Source organism: Homo sapiens, chromosome 6 (assembly GCF_000001405.40).
Source record: "Homo sapiens chromosome 6, GRCh38.p14 Primary Assembly".
Taxonomy (NCBI): domain Eukaryota; kingdom Metazoa; phylum Chordata; class Mammalia; order Primates; family Hominidae; genus Homo; species Homo sapiens.
The window spans coordinates 46792993-46815811 of record NC_000006.12 but is presented as its reverse complement, the minus strand read 5'-3'; the positions used below and the strand labels follow the sequence as shown (position 1 = coordinate 46815811).

The 22819-nt window shown below is 36.5% G+C and overlaps 1 protein-coding gene across 3 annotated transcripts in view; it reads right to left on the bottom strand.

The window, feature by feature from the left end:
* Positions 1 to 22423, bottom strand: part of MEP1A (meprin A subunit alpha) — a 52596-nt gene extending 30173 nt beyond the window's left edge. For 2 of the 3 annotated variants that reach the window (XM_011514629.3, NM_005588.3), the window contains exons 1-6: positions 22345 to 22423; positions 22236 to 22260; positions 22096 to 22146; positions 17166 to 17206; positions 16631 to 16706; positions 6275 to 6392 (exon numbers count right to left, since the gene is read on the bottom strand). In XM_011514629.3, the coding sequence (XP_011512931.1) occupies positions 6275 to 6392; positions 16631 to 16706; positions 17166 to 17206; positions 22096 to 22146; positions 22236 to 22260; positions 22345 to 22413 (380 nt within the window). In that variant the 5' untranslated portion in view covers positions 22414 to 22423. Of the gene's footprint in view, positions 1 to 6274; positions 6393 to 16630; positions 16707 to 17165; positions 17207 to 22095; positions 22147 to 22235 lie in introns of all 3 variants that reach the window. The other variant, XM_011514628.2, reaches the window with a different exon arrangement.
* Positions 22424 to 22819: the final 396 nt, after the last annotated feature.

Genomic DNA, 22819 nt, shown 5'->3' with positions numbered 1-22819 from the left:
CTAAATCATGTGCTAACTACCATTTTCATCATACTATCCATCCATCATTATCAAAACCCCACGGTCAGGACTCAGGATTAAGATGGGGGATGAGAGGCAGGATTAGCTTGCAGCTGCCTGGACAGAGCAGTGTAGGGAGACTCACATCATGAATTTTTGCTCCGAGAACTACTGCAGGAACATACCAGGAAAGCCAAGACAATCCATAGACCCTTTGAAGGAACTGGATCACAACTGCAGGTTGCCTGAGATGCTGAAAACCTGTGAGTCTGCTTGCTTTCTCAACAAGGAGGCTCGTGGTCCGGGACAAGTTCTCAACCTTGGTCACCAGACGACTGGAAATGGACTCAGTGCTGTTGAAGGGGCAAGGTGGGAATAAGCCCAGCCTTTAGGACTGCGGGCTGCATGGGAGCAGGGTGAGGCCTGTGGCTGCAGGCTTTTCCCCACTTCCTTGGCAACCTGTATGACTCAGCAGAGGCAGCCATAATCCCTCCTGGAGTATAACTCCACTGGACTGGAAACCACACCCCCATTCCCCACAACAGCCACAGCAAGCCCTGCCCAAGGAGAGGCTGAGCTCAGACATGCCTATCCCTGCTCCAACCTGGTGATCTTTCTCTACCTGCCCTGGTAGCCAAAGACAAAGGTCAGAATCTCTTGAGAGCTCTATGGCCTTGCCCACCAGCTGAGAAACCTGAATACTTAACCAGGTGTCCCTAGGGCAGGTTTGCATCCTCCCTATAGGACCGTAGCTGATGCACTCTTGAAAGTGCCACCTCCTGGCTGGAGGATTGCCAACACAAAACCAGCACACTAAACAAAAACACAACCAAGGACCTTCACAGAGTCCACTTCATTCCCATGCTACCTCCACTGGAGCAGGTGCTGGTGTCCATAGCTGCAAGACCTGAAGACAAATCACATCACCAGACTCTTTGTACTCCTCAGTACCAGCCCAGAGCCCAGTAGCTCTGCTGGGTGGCTAGATCCAGAAGAGCAAAAACAATCACTACAGTTCAGCTCTCAAGAAGCCCCATTCCTAGGGGAAGGGGGAGAACACCACATCAAGGGAGCACCCTGTGGGACAAAAAAATCTGAAAAACAGCCCTTGAATTCCAGATCTTCCCTCTGACACAGTCTACCCAAATGAGAAGGGACCAGAAAAACAATTCTGGTGATATGTCAAAACAAGATTCTTTAACACTGCCAAAAGATCATGTCAGTGCACCGCAATGGAGCCAAATGAAGACAAAATCTCTGAATTGCCAGAAAAAGAATTTTGAAGGTCAGTTATTAAGCCAATCAAGGAGGCACCAGAGAAAGGTAAAGTCCAACTTAAAGAAATCAAAAACATGATGAGAATATGAAAGGAAAAATCTTCAGTGAAATAGATAGCATAAATAAAAAACAATCACAACTTCTGGAAATCAAGGACATACTTAGAGAAATGCAAAATGCACTGGAAAGTCTCAGCAATAGAATCGAACAAGCAGAAGAAAGAATCTTAGTGCTCAAAGGCAAGGCTTTTGAATTAACCCCATCCATCAAAAACAAACAAAAAAATTTTTTAAATGAACAAAGCTTCGAAGAAGTTTGGACTATGTTAAACATCCAAACCTAAGAATAATTGGTGTACCAGAAGAAGGAGAAATCCAAATATTTGGAAAACGTATTTGAGGGAATAATTGAGGAAAACTTCCCCAGCCTTGCTAGAGATCTAGACATCCAAATATAAGAATCTCAAAGAACACCTGGGAAATGCATCTCAAAAAGATCATCGCCTAGGCACACAGTCATCAGGTTATCTCAAATCAAGACAAAGGAAAGAATCTTAAGAGCTGTGAAGCAAAAGCATCAGGTAACTCATAAAGGAAAACCTATCAGATTAACAGCAGATTTCTCAGCAGAAACCCTACAAGCTAGAAGGCATTGGGGTCCTATTTTTAACCTCCTTAAACAAAACAATTATTAGTCAAGAATTTAGTATCTGGTGAAACTAAGCTTAATAAACGAAGGAAAGATACAGTCTTTTTCAAACAAATAAATGCTGAGAGAATTTGCCACTACCAAGCCAGTACTACAAGAACTGCTAAAAGGAGCTCTAAATCTTGAAACAAATCCTCAAAATATACCAAAATAGAACTCCTTAAAGCATAAATCTTACAGAACCTATATAACAATAACACAGTGAAAAAAAACCAAGATATTCAAGCAACAAATTGCACAATGTATAGAATAGTACCTCACACCCCAATAATAACAGTGAATGTAAATGCCCTAAATTCTCCACTTAAAAAGATACAGAATAGCAGAATGAATAAGAATTCACCAACCAAGTTTCTGCTGTCTTCAGAATTGTCTATTTGTACTCTTTCAGACTTTTGATGTAGGCATTTAATGCTGTGGAACTTTCCTCTTAGCACCACTTTTGCTTTTTGCTGTATCCCAGAGGTTTTGATAGGTTGTGTCACTATTATCATTCAGTTCAAATAATTTTTATATTTCCGTCTTGATTTCATGGTTGACCCAATGATTACTCAGCAGCAGGTTATTTAATTTCCACGTATTTGCATGGTTTTGAGGCCTCACATAACACATAAGGACTCACATAAACTTAAGGTAAAGGAGTGGAAAGATATTCTAAAAATATATTTACCTAATTCTGGAGACCCTCAATTTATAAAACTGTTACTACTAGACCTAAGAAATGAGGTGGATGGCAACACAATAACAGTGGGGGACTTTAATACTCACTGACGGCACTAGACAGGTCATCAAGACAGAAAGTCAACAAAGAAACAATGGACTTTAACTATACCCTAAAACAAATGGACTTAACAGATATTTACAGAACATTCTACCCAACAATTGCAGAATATACATTATAGTTACCAGCACATGGAACATTCTCCAAGTTAGGCCATATGATAGACCACAAAACAAGTCTCAGTAAATATAAGAAAATCAAAATTATATCAAGTACACTCTCAGACCACAGTCAAACAGAATTGGAAATCACTCCAAAAAGAACCCTCAAAACCATGCAAATGCATGGAAATTAAATAACCTGCCCCTGAATGATCACTGGGTCAACAATGAAATCAAGATGGAAATTAAAAAAAAATTTTGGACTGAATGATAATAGTGACACAACCTATCAAAACCTCTGGGATATAGCAAAAGCAGTGCTAAGAGGAAAGTTCATAGAATTAAATGACACCAAAAAGTCTGAAAGAGCACAAATAGACAATCTAAGGTTACACCACACAGAATTGGAGAAACAAGAACAATCCAAATCCAAACCCAGCATAAGAAAAGAAACAACAAATATCAGAGCACAACTAAATGAAACGGAATAAAAAAATACAAAAGACAAATGAAACAAAAATCTGGTTCTTTGAAAAAATAAATAAAATTGATAGATTATTAGTGAGATTAACCAAGAAAAGAAGACAGAAGATCCCAATAAGCTCAATTAGAAACAAAATGGGAGCTATTACAACTGATACCACAGAAATATGAAAGATTATTCAAGGCTACTTTGAACACCTTTATGTGCATAAATTAGAAAACCTAGAAGAGATGGATAAATTCCTGGAAATATACAACCCTCCTAGATTAAACCAGGAATATATAGAATCTCTTAACAGACAAATAACAAGTAGTGAGATTGAAATGGCAATTCAAAAATTGCCAACAAAAAAAAGTCCAGGACCAGATGGATTCAGAGATGAATTATACAAGACATTCAAAGAAGAATTGGTACCAATCCTAGTGACACTATTCCAAAAGATAGAGAAAGAGGGAATCCTCCCTAAATCATTCTATGAAGCCAGTATCTCCTTAATACCCAAACCAGGGAAGGACATAACAAACAAAGAAAACTACAGACCAATATCCCTGATGAACACACAGGCAAAAATCCTCAATAATGTACTGATGAACTGAATCCAACAGCATATCAAAAAGATAATTCAACATGATCAAGTGGGTTTCATACCAGGGATGCAGGGATGGTTTCACATACAAAATCAATAAATGTGATACACCACATAAAGAGAATTAAAAACAAAATTCACATAATCATCTTAATAGATGGAGAAAAAGCATTTGGCAAAGTCCACCATCCCTGTATGATTAAAAACCTCAGCAAAATTGGCACAGAAAGGACATACCTTAAGGTAATAAAAGCCATCTACAACAAATCCACAGTCAACTTTATAGTGAATGATAAAAAGTTGAAAGCATTTCCCCTGAGAACTGGTACAAGACAAAGATGCCCTCTGTTACTACTTCTATTCAACATACTACTGGAAGTCCTAGCCAAAGCAATCAGACAAGAGAGAGAAATAAAGGGCATCCAAATCAGTAAACAGGAAGTCAAATTATCACTGTTTGCTGATGATATGATTGTATACCTAAAAAAACCCTAAAGACTCATCCAAAAAGCTCCTAGAACTGGTAAATAAAATCAACAAAATTTCAGGATACAAAATTAATTTACACAAATCAGTAGCTCTGCTAAACACCAACAGTGTCCAAGCTAAGAATCAAATCAAGAACTCAACCCATTTCACAATAGCTGCAAAATATAAAATAAAATACTTAGGAATATACCTAACCAAAGACTGAAAGACCACTGCAAGGAAAACTACAAAACACTGCTGAAAGAAATCATAGATGACACAAACAAATGGAAAGCTATCCCTTGCTCATGGATGAGTAGAATCCATACTGTGAAAGTGAACACAATTGCCAAAAGCAATCTACAAATTCTATACAATTCCCATCAAAATACCACCATCATTCTTCACAGACCTGGAAAAACCATCCTAAAATTCACATGGAACCAAAAAAGAACCCACATAGCCAACACAAGACTAAGTAAAAAGAACAAATCTGGAGTCATCACGTTACCCAACTTCAAACTATACTGTAAGGCCATAGTCACCAAAAACAGGAAAGTACTGGTATAAAAATAGATACATAGACCAATGGAACAGAATAGAGAACCCAGAAATAAACTCAAATACTTACAGCCAACTGATCTTCAACAAAACAAACAAAAACATAAAGTGGGGAAATGACATCCTATTCAATAAACGGTGCTGGGATAATTGGCAAGCCACATGTAGAAGAATGAAACTAGAGCCTCTTCTCTCACCCTATACAGAAATCAACTCAAGATGGATCAAAGACTTAAATCTAAGACCTGAACCCATAAAGATTCTAGAAGGTAAAATCAGAAAAACCCTTCTAGACATTGGCGTAGGCAAAGACTTCATGACAAGAAGCTAAAAGCAAATGCAACAAAAACAAAGATAAATCAGTGGGACTTAATTAAACTCAAAAGCTTCTGCATGGCAAAAGAAATAATCAGCAGAGTTAACAGACAACCCACAGAGTGGGAGAAAATTTTCACAATGTATACATCCAACAAAGGACGAATATCTGGAATCTACAAATAACCCAAACAAATTAGCAAGAAAAAAACAAACAATCCCATCAAAAATTGGGCTAAGAATGTGAATAGACAATTCTCAAAAGAAGATACAGAAATGGCCAACAGGCATATGAAAACATGTTCAACATTACTAATTATCAGGGAAACACAAATCAAAACTATAATGTGATACGACCTTACTCTTGCAGAAATGGCCATAATTAAAAAATTTTTAAAAATTATATATATTGGTGTGGATGCAGTGAAAAGGGAACACTTTTACACTGTGGGTGGGAATGTAAACTAGTACAGTGACTATGGAAAACAGTGTGGAGGTTCCTTAAAGAACTAAAAGTAGAACTACCATTTGATCCAGCAATCCCACTACTAGGTATCTACCCACAGGAAAAGAAGTCATTATACGAAAAAGATACTTGCACATGGATGTTTATAGCAGCACAATTTGCAACTGAAAAAATATGGAACCAGCCCAAATGCCCATCAATCAACAAGGTGATAAAGAAAAAAAAATATATGTAAAATATATATATATATACACACACACACACCATGTATTACTACTCAGCCATAAAAAGGAACAAAATAATGGCATTCACAGCAACCTGGATGGAGTTGGAGACCATTATTCTAAGTGAAGTAACTCAGGAATGGAAAAAACAAACATTGTATGTTCTCACTCATATGTGGGAGCTAAGTTATGAGGACGCAAAGACAAAAGAATGATACATTGGACTTTGGGGACTCGGGGAAAGAATACTTCTTACGAACCAAAGTATGCATGATTTTCACTCCGTAAAATTTCATACCAACCCATCAAACTGTTGAAATATGATATATGAGCTCTCTCCTTCATAGGGCTTGAAATCCACACAGGACTTGAGACGGAACATCTCAAAGGCATACAGAATGGCTCCTTTAGCATTCAGCCCTGCAGAAATCAGTAAAAATATCAATGAGCATTATTTGGACCTTAGATAATATCTATAACTTATAGTTTAGAGAAAACCATGCTGCCACATTAAATCCACAGAGGTGCATGATAGGGTTTTTGGTAATAAATAGATTTCCTGGTAACTAAAACTGCAAAATTGGTTGTGGACATCTGCAAAATTAGTTGTGGGCATAAACATTAAGTGCATACCTTAAATGCACAATGCAAATATGTCTACAAAATAAGAATATACACATGTGTATATGGCTAAATAAAATAATAAAATAACTTCCACACTTTCTCCCTTTGCCTTTCCCCCACTGAAGCAGAGATTTAGAGTGCATTGCCTCAGGAGAGTCACATGGCAGAACAGAAAACAGAAGTGGCTTGTGAGTAGCTCTGGCTTTAGTTGACATAGATAAAGTACCTTAGAGTGAGGCAGTGAGAATAGTGTTCCTTACCCCAATCTAAAAAGACATTCTCTCTTTCTGGAGGAGGAAAGCAGAACTTAGAGAGGTTTGTGGGTTCTGAAAGCATAAGAAGCACATACGGTATTTTACCCTGCTTCCCAGCCAGATGCCTGGGAGATGGCAAGACTAGACAGCTAGTACTGCACAGAGCCTTAGAAGAGATTTCTGTATCCCGAGCTCAGCACCCAAGCAGCAGAAGCCTAATGGACTTGAAGGGGCAGGAAAAATAGATACTGACTAGTAACCTGTGGGGACCAATGACCAAAGATCAAATGCCTTTCCTTTCACCTAGCATGCATGCACTTTGGCATTGTAAGACAAAGATGGGGTAGAAAAGAAAGATACTCCAGAGAAACTGAGATTATGTTTTACTTTGTGTGCATTTTACCCTCCCATCAACTCATTGAAGGTTAGAATCTAAGTTAAAAATTAAGCCAAGTTATATAAAATAAAATTACATTTCTTGCACATTTGATTTAGTGCTTTCTCTCAAAGAGTTTATATCTATTGGCCAGGAAATTACATCACATTTTCTGGCCTTTATTTCATTTAATAAACTATCAAGTTGGAGACTCCACAGCCTAAATGTCATATAATGTCATATCAAGATCATTAAAGAAATAGTCATGGGAATAGTCAATAAACTAATTGTGGAAACTACACAGATAACAATAACAAGAGCATTCATTACATCTGCTGGGAGATTTTCATGTACTTTTACCTATTCTTACTTAGTTACATCTGTAATATGAAGAGATGTACCCAAGGTAGCTGTGGTGTCACAAAAATGTGAGAAAAAAAAAGTGATTATACTGAAAGCAAGCTTCCTAGAAGGCTATTTCGCTTTTGTTATTCTCAATCCAAATGGTGGGATTTCTGAGAGTGATTAATTTTAAAATTATACCTTTTCTTCCTTCTCCATACCTAAATAAGCTGTAAAGAGGGAACTAAGCAACTCTGTAATAATTTTGTAAAAACTACCTCAACATTATTGGGATAAATGGAAACAGAGCCCATTTGAAGTCTTTCTCTTCTCCATGAAGGCAACCCTGAGTGCTCCTCCTCTGAATGCAGGAGCCACATTTGACTGATTTATTTCCTTTCTTCCTTTCTTTCTTTCTTTCTTTCTTTCTTTCTTTCTTTCTTTCTTTCTTTCTTTCTTTCTTTCTTTCTTTCCTTTCTCCCTTCCTTCCTTCCTTTCCTTCCCTCCTTCTTCTGTTTTCCTCTTCTTCTTCTTGTTTTTTCCTTCTCCTCCTCCTCCTCCTTCTCCTCCTCCTCCTTCTTCTCTTCCTCCTCCTCTCCTTTCTCCCTTTCCTTCCTTCTTTCCTTCCTTCCTTCCTTCCTTCCTTCCTTCCTTCCTTCCTTCCTTCCTTCCTTCCTTTCTTTCTTTCTTTCTTTCTTTCTTTCTTTCTTTCTTTCTTTCTTTCTTTCTTTATTTCAGATGGGGGTCTCACTTTGTTGCTCAGGCTCGACTTGAACTCCTAGGCTCAAGTGATCTTCCTGCCTCGGCTTCCCAAAGTGCTGAGATTATAGGTGGCCAAGGCTTGAGTTGTCTTTATGTAGGTGGTTTGCTACACTTAAGATACTGTTAGCTCCTTGAGAGAAAGGGATATACTTTTTGTCTCATTGTAACTCTTGTTCCTAGCCAACTGCCCTGACATAGTAAGTTGTACATAGTTCTGTGTCAAACAAGTTAGTTTTGAAAACCACTAGCATTCCTTTAACCTTGGATCAAATAATATAAGAAGAGTTAACTTTATTTGTTCTTTTTTTTTCTTTTGAGAAGAGTTAATTTTAGATACCAATGGCTGTACGTATTAGAAGATAAGCATAAGAAGGCTACCTAGATTCAGTTTAGGAATTCCTTTGAGAGAATTTCTGGTGCTCAAAATTGTCAAGGAGCTTGAATCTAATTAATCCTCCCACAGATAACAGTTGTAAACTTGAAAAAATAAGAAAATAAACTCTTTAAATATGCTGGAAAATGGCTAAAACAGGCAGAAACTGGAGGACTTTTTCTTAAAAGAAGGAAAATTTCATTGGGTAAGATTCACATTTATACAGCTTTTTGCATGAGGGCACGCTCTAATTTCTTCAATGCAAGAAAGAGAACTCAAGTATAAATCTACAGTTGCATTTTCTTAACATACCACAAGGACAAGTTTGGGGCTGAGTTTTAACCCGAGTGGCTGAAAATCAAGGGAGAAAGTCCTAGAAAGGAAAGTCATGGTAGATGAAGAGGAGATTCATCCCAAAGTCTGTATATAAGTGCCCCTTCAATCCTTGTCTGACTCATGAACTTTGCATAAATGGGAGAAGGCTCCAAGCCCCTCAGTAGGTAGTAGCCATTGGAAGGCTGAGCAACCTGAACAGATACATCAGTTGCTGCCCACTGCAGTGGAGGAAGAATTTGGAGTTTGAGTCATGCAAATTTACAGGGGTTGGGGAAACTCGGGCATTCCATTGAAATCCCAGAAGGACCATGACTTAACAGTAAAGACTATATTCCAGAACTAAGAGATTTGCCTTGAACTAAGGGCAAGACCACAAAATCCTCCACAAATTCCAGATGATCATGCAGTAATTTAACTGCTCTAACAAAAATTAACACAATTCAGAGGAGAATGAAAACACGCATAATCACTACAATGTAACACAATGTCTAATATATAATCAAAAATTATGAGACCTGTGAAGGAACAGGAAATTGTTATTGATAGATATTAGTAAAAGCAATAACTAGAAAGAGAAACAGACCCCAAGGTGACTAAAATGTTAGACTTAACAGACAAACACTTTAAATCTCTATTGTATACTTGTTACATAATTTAATGGAATAAAGATGAACATACAAATAATCTCAGCAGACAAATGGGAATTATATAAAAGAACCCAATGAAAATTCTATCAGTATTATATCAAAAATAAAAAATTCACTGGATAATTTTAAAAGCTGACTGGCGATGGTAAAAGAGACAGAGAGAAAAATGTTCAGAAAAATGAATAGCGCTTTAGTGACCAATGGGAAAAAAATCACCCAGTCTAAGATATGTGCAGTTAGAGTCTCTGATGGACAGGAGAAACACAGAAAAATATTTGAGCAAATAATGGCCTAACGTTTTTCAGATTTGGTTATTTAAAAATCACCTTAAAGACAGAAGAAACTTGGTGAGCCCAAACAGGATAGATAAAAAGAAAATCAGCATAAGCATACCATAATCAAGCTGTTATAAAAACAAAAATAAAAAGAACGTATTGAAAACAACTAGAGAAAAAAGACATTACATACAGGAGAACAATAATATGAAAGTTTGAAAGATGGATGATTTATTATCAGACACTGGAGACAAGAAACAGTGTATCTGGAGCAAAATATTTGCAAAATATATATCTGATAAAAGACATATCCAAAATATATAAAGAACACTTAGAACTCAATACTAAATAACAACTCAATTTTTAAAATGGGTTAACAGAGCAGATATTTTATAAGGGAAGATATACAAATGACCAATGAGTAACTTTAAAGGAGGTCAACATTACTAGTCATAATGGAAATATAAATCAATAAATTAATAAAATAGCACTAGATGCCCAACAGAATGGCTAAAACTTTAAAAATTGACAACACCAAATGTTAGCAAAGGCATGGAGTAAACGAAACTCACGTACATTGTTTGTGGTTGTATAAAATGGTACCAGCACATTGAAAGAGGTCTAACACTAAACCTACACCTATACTATAACCCAGCAATTTTATTCTTATTTACACCAGAGATATGAGAATATATTTCATAAAAGAATATGTGCAAGGCTACTCATAGTAGCTTTATTCATAACAGCCAAAACATAGCATCAATCGAAGAGAATGATTAAACAAGCTGTGATATACTAAATTCAATGAAATGACAGTAACAAAAAAAGAACAAATTGCTTATAAACGCAGCAACATTGATGCATCCCAAGAACATTTTACTGAGTAAAACAAAGCCTTACTCAAAAGAGTATATAACATATGATTCCATTTATATGAAATTCTAGAAGAGGTTAAATTCACCTATGAAGAAAAAAGAAAAAATAGAATAGCACCTTCTTTTTCTGGAAAAGTGAGAATAACTTGGAAGGGCCATAACAGAACTCTCTGGAAGGATAACAGTGTTCCATCTCTTCATAGGAAGTTAGGTTTCAGAGGTACATACATTATAAACATGTTCCATCTCTTGATAGGAATTTGGATTACATAGGTGCATAGATCTTTAAGAACTCATTGAATTGTACATCTGAGACTCATGCATTTTACCCTATATATATTTTATGTAAAAGGGAACTATATACAAATATTGACCTGTAGTTAATTACATGCATACTTAGGTGACTGGGGTAAAGTGTACTAGTGCCCGAAAGCGACTTTGAAATGCATCAAAAATACAATGGATTGATAGATTCATAGAGGGATATTGGGATGGATAGACGAAATAAAGCAAATAAAACTGTTAATTGTAATTTAGGTTATGAGTATGTGAATGTTCGCTGCATAATGCTTTTAACTTTTTGATTATTTAAAAGTTTTTATAATCAAATGTTGGAAAACAAAAAGACAATGTATTACAACTTAAAAATGTTAAAATAATAATTTTTAACACTACTATAAACCGAAATTCTATTTCCAGTTAAAATATCCTCAAAATTTAGGCAAAATAAAGATCATTTTCAGGTAAAAGAAAAACCAGAATTTGTCATCAACAAATCTGCTTTATAAGAAGTGCTAAAGGAAGTTCTTCAGACTGAAGAGAAATGATACTAGAGAAGAACTCAGATTTACAGGAGGAATGAGGAGCACCAGAAATTTCAAGTGTAAAAGTAAATACGAAGACTCTTGTTTTTCATCAATTACTTTAAAAGATAACTGTTTAAATAAAAAATTCTAACACTATAGTGCGAGACTTATGAAGCATGTAGATGGAAAATATAAACCAATAAAGTACAAAGGGCAGGGGTATAAATGGAATTATACTATTGTAAAATGCTTGCATAATATTAACGCTAAGGACAATATTTTTAAAAATGTAAACATACTTTTATCCCATCCATGGATGAAAATATTCACAAGATAAATTATGAAGTATCTATTAATAAACTAAATTTTAATAAGCATACACCATATCAAAATTTGAAGAAGGCAGTAAAGCAGTGCTTCAGATAAAATTTATAGCTTTAGTAGCCATGTTGTAGAATATATTACATTAGAAAAAATGAAGGTTTAAAATAAGTGATATGAATTTTCATCTTAAGAATGTCAAAAAAGAAGAGTAAACTAAACCTGAAATAAGTAGGAGAAAGGAAATAATAAAGGTAACAGAAAGCAACTAAATATAAAGCAGAGAAGCAAGAGAAAATTAACAAATCAAAAGTCAATTCTGTAAAAATATTAATAAAATCAATAAGTCCCTGGCAGGACATGTCAAGAAAAAAAGAGGGAAAACACAAATTGCCAATATCAAAAGTGAAATAGGACTATCACTAAAGATTCTACAGACATTATAAAGATAATGAGATATTATGCCACTATTTTGACAACTTAGTTGAAATAGTTGTTGAATTTTGTCAAATGCTTTTTCTGCATCTATTAAGATAATCTTAATTTTTTATTACTGAAAAATACAATTTAATAAAAGCAGCATAATAGAAAATAAGAATAATTCTATAATTATTAAATGAATCGAATTCATTATAAAAATACTATCCCACAAAGAAAATTCCATTACTTGGTTATTTTATTTTATCGGTGAATTTTACCAACAAACAAATTTATTATTTATTTTATTGGTGATTTTTACCAACATTTAAGAAAGAAAAAATTTTGATCATACACAAACTTATTCAAAAGATAAAAGAAGAGGAAAAATTTTCAAGATGGTTTTGAGAGCTACATAACTTTATTACTAAAGCCTAATAAAGATATTACAAAAAGGTAAATTAGAAACTTATACTATTTATGAATATAAACACAAAAATGTATAACAAAATATTAGGAATCCAGCAAAATATGAAAAGGATAATACATCATAACCAAGTAGGGCTCATCTGAGAAATGCAAAGTTGATTTAGCATTCAAATTTGATGTTATTACCATATTACACAATAAGGAATAAAAATTATACTTAATTGTTGCAGGAAAAGCATTTGATACACTGTAACAACTATTCATGATGAAAACATACCATCTGACAAAGGGCATCTGTGGAAAACCTACAGTGTCCCACATGAATGAAGTATTGAATACTACCACTAAACAAGCCAATGAGGCAAAGATGTCCACTCTTACCACTTCTATTCAACATGGTAATGAAGGTCCTAGCCAGAACAATAAGACAAGAAAAAGCAATATATGGTGTAAAAATTGGAAAGGAACCAGTAACACTGTCTATATTAAAAGGCAAGAAGAATTTTTACTAAAAGTCCTAAAAAAATCTACAAATCAACAATTAAAATTAATGAGTAAATTTAGCAAGGTAACAGAATACAAAATCAATATATAAAAATCCATTGTATTTTTATATATTAGCAGAAAACATTATGTAGTAAAATTTTTTAAATTTCATTTTAATAGCATCAAAAATATAAAATGCTTAGAAATGAATTTACCAAAGACACACAAGGTCTCTACACTGAAATTTATAAAACACGGATTAGATAAATTAAAGAAGACTGAAATAAATGGACTGATGTACCATGTTTATGGATTATAGGACTCAATATTTTTAAGAAATTAGTTTTCTACAAATTTATGTACAGAATCAACACATTCCTATCAAAATCCCAGCAGGCTTTTTAGAGAAATTGATTGTAAAATATACATGAAAATGCAAAAGGTCTGGAGTAGGCTAAACAGTCTTGAAATTGGAGAGCAAAGCTGGAACACTCAATTCAAGGTTAACTGTGAAGCTAGAGTAATCAACATAGTGATTTTTGACATGATGATAAACAAGTAGAATAAGATAGGAAAACAGAGATACCAGATCAAGAAATGAGGAGTCTTGGCAAACTTGGCAAACGAGACTCTTGCGAAGAGTACTTAATGAGGAAAGCAAAATTTTATAGCAAATGTTGCTGGAACAACTGGGCTAATAAATACCAACCAATCAGTCTCAATCTCTTCATCCTGTTGTACACAAAATTAGTTTGCAATCAATTATAGACAAAAATTGAAACCATACAACTTCAAAAAATATTGGAATATATCTTTGTGACTTGGTTTAAGCACATATTTCTTAGAATATAAAAACACAAACCATAAGTTAAAAAATTGATAAATCACACTTTATCAGCATTTAAAGCTTTTGCATTTCAAAATTCACTGCTTGAAAAACAAAAACAAATAGGTAAGTAACAGACTAACAGAAAATATTTATAATACATATATCTGAAAAAGGGCTTTAGCCATAATATATAAAATCCTACAAATAATAAAAAGACAAACAATATAATTTTTAAAACTCATGAAGGAGTTGGACAGACCCTCGTAAAAGAAGATACAAAAATAGCCAGTAGCATACTAAAATGTGCTAAATATCACTAATCATTAGGGAAATGCAAATTAAAATCGTAGGGAGATACCATTTTACAACTACTAAAATGGCTATAACTACAAAGATTAATGCTATCAATATTAGCGAGGATGTGGAGCAAATGAAACACTCATATATTTTCAGGAGGAGTGTACAATGGCACAGCCACTTTGGAAAACTGTTTGGCGTTTTCTTACATAGTTATCCATATGACCAAGCAATTATATTCCTAGGCATTTACCAAAGATAAATAAAAAATGTATTCACATAAACTTGTATAAGAATTATCATAACAGTTTTCTTCATACTAGCCCCAACAGAAAAATGGACAGTAATTTACAGTATAGTATTACAAAGAAATATTACTGAGTAGTTTAAAAAAAGAATTTACTGTTGATCTACAACAATATGGAAGAACTTAAAAAACATAAGTCAAAGAAGCCAGACACATAGTATTTATAAAACAAATACTATGGTATATGAGTTCATTTATCTGTAAATCAGTTGTAAATCAGGCAAAACTAATACATAGGGGAAAATCAGAATGGTGGTTGTCTCTTAAGGAGTGGGGATGGGAACTGCCTAGAAAGGAACTTTATGGAATGATGGAAGTGTGCATTATATAGGTATATGTGTTTGTCAAAAGCCTTATATACTGATTTGTGTATTTCACTCTATGTAAATTTAACTTGAATAAAACAATTCTATACAAATATTCAACTCTAGTTAGAAAGTTTGCTTTCACAGTGGTCTGGGTCTGGGCATCTGAACTTTAACACTAAAGGTGACCTTCACGTGGTATTGCTTGAGAAATACTGCTGTATCCTTAATACCTTTATCTTATGTCAGTTCACTTGTCTCAAATCACTCTCAAATATAATTTCTTACCTATCTTGCAACTAGAGAGACCTTACTACTTAAGCTGTGGTCTGCGTGGGGACCAATAGCATCAGCATCACTAGAGGACCGTTGGACATGCAACATCTCACACACCAACGCTGACCTACTCTGTAGGTTAACAGGATCCTCATCTGAGTCCTATGCACATTAAAGTCTGAGAAGCACTACCTTACACCTTACAGAGGCATGGTAAAGGTTACATAAAATATCAGATGAAGGCACAGAGCCTGGCACATAATAGGGTGGTGCAGATGTGACAACCAGGATAAAACAAATTGTAATGGGAAAGAACCCCTTTTAAAGTTGGTGTTTCTTAAATCATGTTCCATTAAGTATTGATGTTCCGTGAATTTGCAAGGCAAACACTGGAGAAAACAACTCAATTTTCCAACTAATAGCTGTGAACAATAACATTTGTTTATATCTAGCTGTTCTCCATAAACAGGGATTCGAGGCAGCACTGATAAAGAGGATGGAAAATACTGAAACATAATCTACATCTCCTGAGAGTAGGAGCAGCCTAGCAGCCCAACAAGACTAAGCAACCCTGTCCTGGCTTCCCTTCTTCACTCTAATCTTGTTCATCTGTCTAAGCAGGAGGGGCCTTGCAGACATTGAGTCATCATGGCTGCTCAGCTGTCAGTCAACTGCTTGAGGGTCAGCCAGTGCCTACATGTGGCTTCTAATATTTACTTATTTCTACCAGTTGCTAGTTCTATATGCAACCTTAGCTAAAAGGCAGGGAAGTCATTCTACTAGTCATTATTTCTAACAATGAGTAAAATGTAACATATTCAGATCTTTTTCTTAAGAGAGAGAAAAGAGTAGACATTAATAACACCAAGAAAAAAGGATTGTGAACATGTGAAATATGGACTTTCCTATTTCTCAAAGTGTGGCATGTTTCTCTTGTAAGAAAAAGAGAAGAAATCAATATGCTGAAAATAGTATCCTCACACTACATTTAGATTCACCTAAACAAAGTGCAAACTTTTCCTTGTTCTGATGCAAATTATATTTCATTAGGTTTTGCTCTTTTATGTTCTCCTGGTTATACTAATACTTTAATGTGTGTTGCATTTTAAAAGTTATTCTTGGATTCTGTGTATCTCAGACTGGTTAAGCAGCAATGCTTTTGATGTAATGTTATGTCTTTCTCCCCATTAGATAAAGATGCATCAGGACTTGAAAACTCTCTTAGATCGTGGTGGTTACTCCCAATGTGAAGCCCATGGACAGGCTGAGAGGAGAGAGAGAGTTAAACTGAAACTTCCTAATTAAGAACAATTAATATTACCCAAATTATCAGCCAAGATGTAAGGAATGGGGAACGTCCACCTGGTGTTTGGGTCTCTCAGGCCATTTCTGGATTTCTGTGAAAACAAAGGTAAAGGTGAGTGGGAAGCCTAGTCCTCAAGGTCACCTTGACCTCCTCCTTCACTAAACTCTCACAGAGCAAACAGTCTATCACACAACTCAAACAGTTTAGTGGCAATTTGTCTTTTGATTATGAAAGCAATAGAAGTCCTTGAGAGATAATTTGGAAAAATCAGAGAAATTATTAAGAACAAAATAAAGGGGGCCTGCAATCCCAAGAAAACTGGATAGATAAGCCATTTAATCATTTTAGACCCTTTTGTGCTGTTTACTTATTTTCCCTCTGTTTTTGTCCTTAGGAACTACAGTGGAACTCCTCACTGGAACAGATTATAGATGAGATTTCTCTCATCTCCTTCACAGTGCCCATCCCAGGGCTGGCCGCAGAGCAGAGACTCACACCCAGTGGTACTGCCTGTCCTGAGAAACTTATTGCATCATTGACAGGTACTCACCTGCAAGAGGATGTCCCCTTGAAAGAGGTCCAAGCCTGCAGCTGGAAGTGGAATTTTTTTTAAAAAAAGAATATTTGAGTGAACATTATTAAAAGGCATCTTTCGTAATAAAATTAGTATTTGCCATTATAAATCTTTGAATATTAATCTTTATGTGGCAAAACTTTTTGAAACAATGCAAAAATTCCAGTTAAGCAAATGTGAATGGCCGATGAGTATCACATATTGTCATAGCCTCTGTTTTCAATTTTGGGACAAGAAATCTTGTCTAAGAATCTTAGAAGTAAGACATAAGTTAGAAGGGATTTTACTGATCACTGATTATAAAAAAGGGATTCGATGCAGCACTGATAAGGAGGATGAAAACTATTTAGAAAATGGCTGGGCGTTGTGGCTCATGCCTGTAATCCCAGCACTTTGGGAGGCCAAGGTGGATGAATCACCTGGGGTCAGGAGTTCAAGACCAGCCTGGCCAACATGGTAAAACCCTGTCTCTACTAAAAGTACAAAAATTAGCTGGGCATGGTGGCGTGCACCTGTAGTCCCAGGTACTCGGGAGGCTGAGGCAGGAGAATTGCTTGAACCCAGGACGCAGAGGTTACAGTGAGCCAAGATCATGCCACTGCACTCCAGCCTGGGTGACAGAGCCAGACTCTGTCTCACAAAAAAAGAAAGAGGAAGAAAAAAGGAAGGAAGGAAGGAAGGAAGGAAGGAAAGAAGGAAGGAAGGAAGGAAGGAAGGAAGGAAGGAAGGAAGGAAGGAAGGAAGGAAGGAAAGGTAGAAAGTAAGAAAGAAAGAAAGAGAGAGAGAAAGAAAGAAAGAAAGAAAGAAAGAAAGAAAGAAAGAAAGAAAGAGAAAGAAAGAAAGAAAGAAAAAGAAAGAAAGACTATTGAGAGAAATGGAGAAAGAAATAGAGTCCAGAGACATGAAGTGATGTACTATGTAATCAAGTGGCCAAGTGAGCATCAAAACTCCTGCCTTTCCATCCAGGGCTCTTTCTACCAGTGTACCATTCTGCCTCTTGTCCCAAAGTAAATGAGTGTGTTTTGCTCTTTCCCATGAAAAAACGATGATACCCTCCAAAACCAAGCTCAAGGTGCTGCCCACATCATGAGGAAGACCAGGGGAATATGGATAGATCCATTCTAAACCGTATCTCCAAACATCTGTTCTCAGGTGCTTAGCAGAATATACTCTCCTACTGCTGTTATTGCTTAATCCTTGCCTCATCCTGTTTCAGTAAGCAAGACTCTTAAAAGGGAAGATCTTTGTAGGAAAATTTCTCAAGCATTAAAAGAGCATCACTTATCATAACTCTCATGTGACATGAAACATTTTCTGTAAAATGCAACAACTTCAGACAGAATCACTGGATTGTACTTCATTCTGAGGACAGCCCTGATTTACAGGCTGGGAAGCCAAGGCAGAGATTAATTACCACAGTCTCACGAGCCAACAGAGACCTCATTTGGCAAAGCCTGTGGCTCATTCAGGAACCAGCTCCGTTTATGCATAGGACACCAAGGAGGTGTTAGGTATTAGCAGGCATCATGATTTCACTTGCCAGTGACTAACTAGGGCTATCCCTGTATCATTCCCTTCCTCATGCACACATTTCCTAGATTGCTTAACCTCTTTAACCCTGACCTATTCTTATGGTAGCAGTACGATTAACCACAAACAGTAATGACATCACTGTCCCACTGTCAGTAGGACCCAGATTTGAATCATCTTTTAAACAGAGGGACTTTGTTCTGGTCCATCTATTCTTACATTGAGGTTTGTCCTGAGCAAAAATCTGTATTTCCTGACACCTGGCCTGGATTATAATGGGATTGAGGGAGCTCTTTCAGAGTGAAGTGAACAAGCCCACTCAGACTTTGGCCCCAGTGGTCAGTCAGAATGGATGGAGTCATGGGGGGCAGGGAGAACCTCCCAAAGAAGTGTACATCCAGTGAGAGCAAGCCTCAATCTATTCATTACCCAATTTGTTCATGTAGTATACACTTATTAAATGCCTAATGTGTCTTAAGCATTTTTCTAGATGCTGGGATACAGTAGAGAATAAAACAAGTCCTTAAGGAGATGACTCTCTTGATTGGGGGAAGAAGGAGACATACAAATAAACAAATAACTGTAAAGTGTGACAAATGGTGAAAAGTACAATAAAAAAGAAACAAATGAAAGGTAAAGTGGGAAAGAGTGCTGAGGTGAGATAGGTTTGCTATTTTATTAAAGAGTGGTCAGGCAGGGCCTCCCACAGGAGGTGGCATTTTAGCAGAAATATGATAGAGTGAGGGAATGAAGGAAGAGTAGGGGAGGTAGAGGCAACACCAGATAGAAAGGTCCTGTGACAGGAAAGCCTTGATGTCTTAGGGCAGTGGTCCTAAACTTGAGCATCAGAGTCCCTTGGAAGGCTTGGTCAACACCCGTTGATGAGCCCCCACCGTTGGATTTCTGGTCCATTAAGTCTGGGGTGAGGCCTGAGAATGTTCATTCCTAACAAGTTTCCTGGTGATGCCGATGCTGCTGGCTTGGGGACAACACATCGAAAATCACTTCCTTAGAGGAGTAGCTGTGCAGTCAGGGTGGCTGGAAAGCTCAAGTAGGAAGGGGAAGAGTAGTCAGGGGCAGATTGACTCACACTCTGATGTGCATAGAAACCACTTGGGTCTGTCAAAATGAAGATGCTAATTCTGTAGGTCTGGGGTGGATCCTCAAATGCTGCATTTCTAAGAGAAAGCTCTTGAGTGACACAGATCACTTTGGCCTGTGGACCACACTTTGGGAATCAAGGCTCTAGGGCCTTTACTTTATGTTGAAGGAGAAGTCATTAGATGGTTGGAGCAGAGAAATGACATGATCTGAAGGATATTAAAAGGAGAGCTCTATGTTGTGCAGAATAGTCTTTAGGGAGCAAAGGCAGAAAGGGAAGCACAGTTATGAGGCCTGTCAAAGGACCAGCCCAGACATGAGGTGGCTGACCAAGGTAGGGGCAGTAAAAGTGCTGAAAAGTCTCAACTGTAGTATGATTTGAAAGTAGATCTAGGCCAGGCGTGGTGGCTCATGCCTGTAATCTCAGCACTTTGGGAGGCTAAGGTGGGCGGATCACAAGGTCTTGAGTTCAAGACCAGCCTAGCCAACATAGAGAAACCCCATCTCTACTAAAAATAGAAAAACTAGCCTGGCATGGTGGTGGGCACCTATAATCCCAGCTACTCGGGAGGCTGAGGCAGGAGACTCGCTTGAACCCAGGAGGCGGAGGTTGCAGTGAGCCGAGATGGCACCACTGCACTCGAGCCTGGGTGACATAGCAACACTCCATCTCAGGAGAAAAGAAAAGAAAAGAGAAAAAAGAAAAGTAGATCGAGTAGATCGAATAACATTTGCTGACAGATTGTGTGTCAGGTGTGAGAGAAAAGCAAGAGTTAGGGGCAACTCTAACATTCTGAGCCGAAAATCTAGAAGGAGTGAGTCACATTTACTGAAATGAAAAGGACTGAGAGGAGCAGGTCTTGGGATGGAGGATAAGAAACGTTTACTCAGCCTTGTGAGGCAAAAAGAAGATGGTAAAAAGGTGGCAATTTTCTCTATATGATTTTCCCAATTTATGGTGTTAGAATCTGGCCATATGGCTAACCCAATCAATCCTGGTGGTTTGGTTGAAATGGCCTAAAAAGAAGATTTACATGGTAATGAGATTTCTCCACTGGGGTCAAGGATCAGAGGTGGTGGTGGGCCTAAAGAGTACAAAATGGCAAAGAGGTAAATAATTAATTTTTATTAGATAAATAATGATGAGATTAGAAAAACTCTAATTCTAATCCCATTTCTGTTGTAAAATACAGCAGATTCTCTGAACTGTTTACACAATGGCTAACTCTAAAGAGAGATATTTTAGTGCCTGGCTCTGAAGTCTTGGGACCCATTTATGCATTCACCCATTTACCTTCCTAAACTATTTCTGCTCTGCCTATGCAGCCATTCTCCAGCTATTCCAATTAAATATCAACTAACTGGCTTCTCTGTGAGTGAGACAAAGCCAGAAAAATTGACCCTTAGTTATTGGTATGTTAGTTTTGTAGCCTTCAGATAGCACTGAGCTATTAAGGTATGGGCTACAAGATCTGGAAGTAAGCCCCATCACTGCTACCTATGATCTTGAGCAAGTCACTCTACCCATGAGAAGCCACCTGTCGCTTCCCAAAAAAATGAAAACAGCACTTACTCCACGACAAGACTGGACAAATAAATATGCAATTGCATATAAAAGCTTTTGTAAACTGAAGGTACTTATTATCATGAATAGCTCTGCTTCCACAAATCCTGACCTAAGACACTGGGAATGCAGAGGCTTCTCTCTCATTTCAGAAGCAGGACAACAGAGAGAAAACAGAGATGATGACTCAGCTTCTCTCTCCTCTCAGTAATGGATGAGACTGATGAATTTCTTCAAGAAATATATTTGTAAATGAGATGTCTAAGTGGAGATTGCTTTACACTCACCCCTAAGTCTCAACCGAGGAGTTGTTAGTGAATATGATGGGCCAGTGGAGGGGTTGGGTTTTGTTTCCCCACTAAATATAACCAGAGGCTTATTCTTATATTTTTCTTTAACAATCGGAATAATTATCTATTTGCTTTCCTTTTCCTCCAAATACAAATTGGAAAAATAAAATTTTTATAAAGAGAAACTTGTTACATATTTCTAGATCCATTGAGGACTTCCTAGCTCTCCTAGAAAGTCTGGTCTAACTATCTTCTCTTTCCGCATTTTTATCTTTCAGAAAATGCAATTTCTCACAAAGCACCAAAAAATATTTCTCCCCCAGAGAATCACAATACAGTATTAGGAAGGAAAGTGTTCAGTAATCCCACCACTGGGTTTCAAGTAATTTCAAGACTTTAATAACACAAAAATTGAACTCACCTAAATTGATTTCTGAAATATCCTTCTGTTCACCAAAATCTGCATCATGTACTGTTAAAAGTGAGAAAAAAAATTATTATTAGTCTTGCCGAAGGAAAAAAGTTCAAAAACACTCTCTGTGCATTTGAACTAATTCTTACCATTTTCTTCAGGAAGATACTTAATCTGAAAAAAATAAATATACAGAAAATGGATAATGTATACTAGAATTAATATTTCTAAATATCCAAAAAGCAGGACTCGACTTACCGGTACAGCTGCTATGTGGGCAAAAAGCAAGGTAAAAAAGAGAATGCAAGTGGATCTAATCCAAGCCATTGCTGCAAGTGAGCTGATTTTAGCACACACCTTGTCATAAATACCGTTTAGACTTTACCCTGACGGTCGTATTAGAAACTTTGACCCTTCCATATGTACCGTAGTGCCAATAAAGGTTGTCAAAGATAACATCATTGACTCTTTCGAGGACAAACACTAAGTTTACCTTAAATGCTTAAGCTCCAAAGACTGGGGAAAAGTTTGAAAAATTAATACGGAAATGAGCATATAAGAACTAATAACATTCCTATAGGGCAGCCATAGCCATTCATATCATAAAACAGGATAGACGATCCCCTTAACAATAAAAATAAAAATAATTTATAAAATTATTATTATTTAATTCTAATAAAATATAAATTCAAATTTTATGGAAATGTTATAAAGCAATTATTGAAGGACATAA